The 1,833-nt window shown below is 34.9% G+C and overlaps 1 annotated feature.

Annotated features, from left to right (window-relative positions):
* Positions 1,664 to 1,833: an enhancer, noted in NCBI's record as "experimental_32158 CRE fragment used in MPRA reporter constructs". NCBI's record gives its function as "activates a minimal promoter by MPRAs in K562 erythroleukemia cells, with activity observed for both the introgressed and non-introgressed 13:108698124 variant alleles {active_cell/tissue: K562}" and the evidence as "EXISTENCE:reporter gene assay evidence [ECO:0000049][PMID:34662402]".

The following is a 1,833-nucleotide window of genomic DNA, read 5'->3' as shown; positions in this document are numbered from 1 at the left end:
TTGAGCATTTTCCATACAGGCAACACAATATATCTTGTAGGCAGGATAATTACTATTAAGTATTTGAAACCTATGAAAATTACTTTGAAGCTGACTTGACCATTTCAGAAAAATGATTATGTTAGATCCAAAATGAAAGCAGATACTAACATTTTATTGTATGCTTTATTTCTGTATATCACAAATAAATATTTTACTTATCTGATATAAAATTATACATTTAAAATTATGTCATAGTAAGTTAGAAGCAGGCATTCCATTAACATAAAATAGTCAGAAATATTGCTTGGCACATGCCTTCATATTTTTATGAATATTAAAATATTTATTTTCTGTTTTTGTGTATATTAAGGTTCTGGGCTCTTGTCTCTCACTGTGTGTACTGCTGTGATTGATTTAGTAATGTGCCTGGAAATAGCACTAATAATTCCCTTAGCATATTATAAGGTGGTTATAGAACGAAGATCAAAATATATTGTATTTACATGGCATTTAGAATGGAAATTTTTTAGCTCGGATCATATTGAAAATTGACCTTTAACTTGCAAACTGGTTGGTATTAAGAAGCCCTATCTCAATTTTGGTTATATTATTAAAACTTAATTCAAAATGTGTACACTCTAAAATTAAACTTTATTATCCTTTACCTAAATGCACTGACACTTGTTTTTTAGTAAAGCATGGATCATTTCCCAAACACTGGGGCTTAGATGTTATGTTAAAAAGTAAAATGACTTTTGTGTTTGCCTATAAACGTATAGTCATCACTCTGTAAGGTTCTAAAGAAGAAGGTGTTTGTCTTTTAATTTGTATAGGACTGCTGAGATCTCTCTAGGAGAAAATCACCAGCTTTTCAGAAAGCAGTAGCTTCCCCTTGTTAGGCTTGTTAGGTTTGCACTGTGTCAAAGCAGCTCTGTGAAATCACTGGGCAGGAGCAGGGTGCTTGTGGTCTCGCAACATTGAAATTCCATCTTTTCTCTAAATCTTTATGACAGGTTCTGGCAGGGGTGATGTAGAATGGAGAGAGGTATTTGCTTACAGCGGGTGAAAAATGTTTAAGAGAATAAAAGGAAAACTTTAAACAGTGTCAAGTCCAATAAAAGAGAGAGGACATCGGGGGCCATCCAGCTGCCCACAATCTGCTCACAGGTGGGCAACCAGGGGCAACCTGCGTGCAACGGGAGACACACGTTGGGCCACACAGTCCACGCAGCCAGGATCGAGGTAGCATGCAAGGAAGATGTGAACACAAATAAGCTGCCCCTGGGCCATCCCTAGTTGCCTACTAAAGCAGCAAACGCACTTAGGATGACCCAGAGCTTTACCCGAGACGAACTTATATTGTTATGGTAAGAGGGAAATGCTGAAAAAATTTGTCCTGGAAGAAGTAAAATAAATTAAATGGTCTGGAAATGTGAGAACAGTTTCAAATCTTGTAAATGTATATATTTTCAACTTGCTTTGATTTTCCCCTTACGTAGGTGAATGGCACCTAATTTTCTACCTTATTGATGTAACCTATCCTATATAATAAAAAGTACCTATCATATATCAAGACACTAATTCAAAACTATTCAAAATTGTATTTTGGGAAGTAAAGTTTATTATATGTTTTCTGAGGCCTAAACTGCATATGAATTAGCAGGCAAGAGAACATGGCTAGGATAGCTCAAGCTTTAGAACTTTTTTATAGTAAACATATAAGAATATTTTCCCAAGGATTATTTCCACAAAGGCTAAATCTGGTGTCCGATTCTTAAAGTAAATCACTCTAGGATACTAGAATATCTTAGAAAACCAAATTCCTATTGAATGATTTTTGTTATTGACAAG

This window comes from Homo sapiens, chromosome 13, assembly GCF_000001405.40.
Source record: "Homo sapiens chromosome 13, GRCh38.p14 Primary Assembly".
In the NCBI taxonomy this organism is placed as follows: Eukaryota; Metazoa; Chordata; class Mammalia; order Primates; family Hominidae; genus Homo; species Homo sapiens.
The sequence above is the reverse complement of the archived record's forward strand: the minus strand, read 5'-3'. Positions and strand labels throughout refer to the sequence as shown.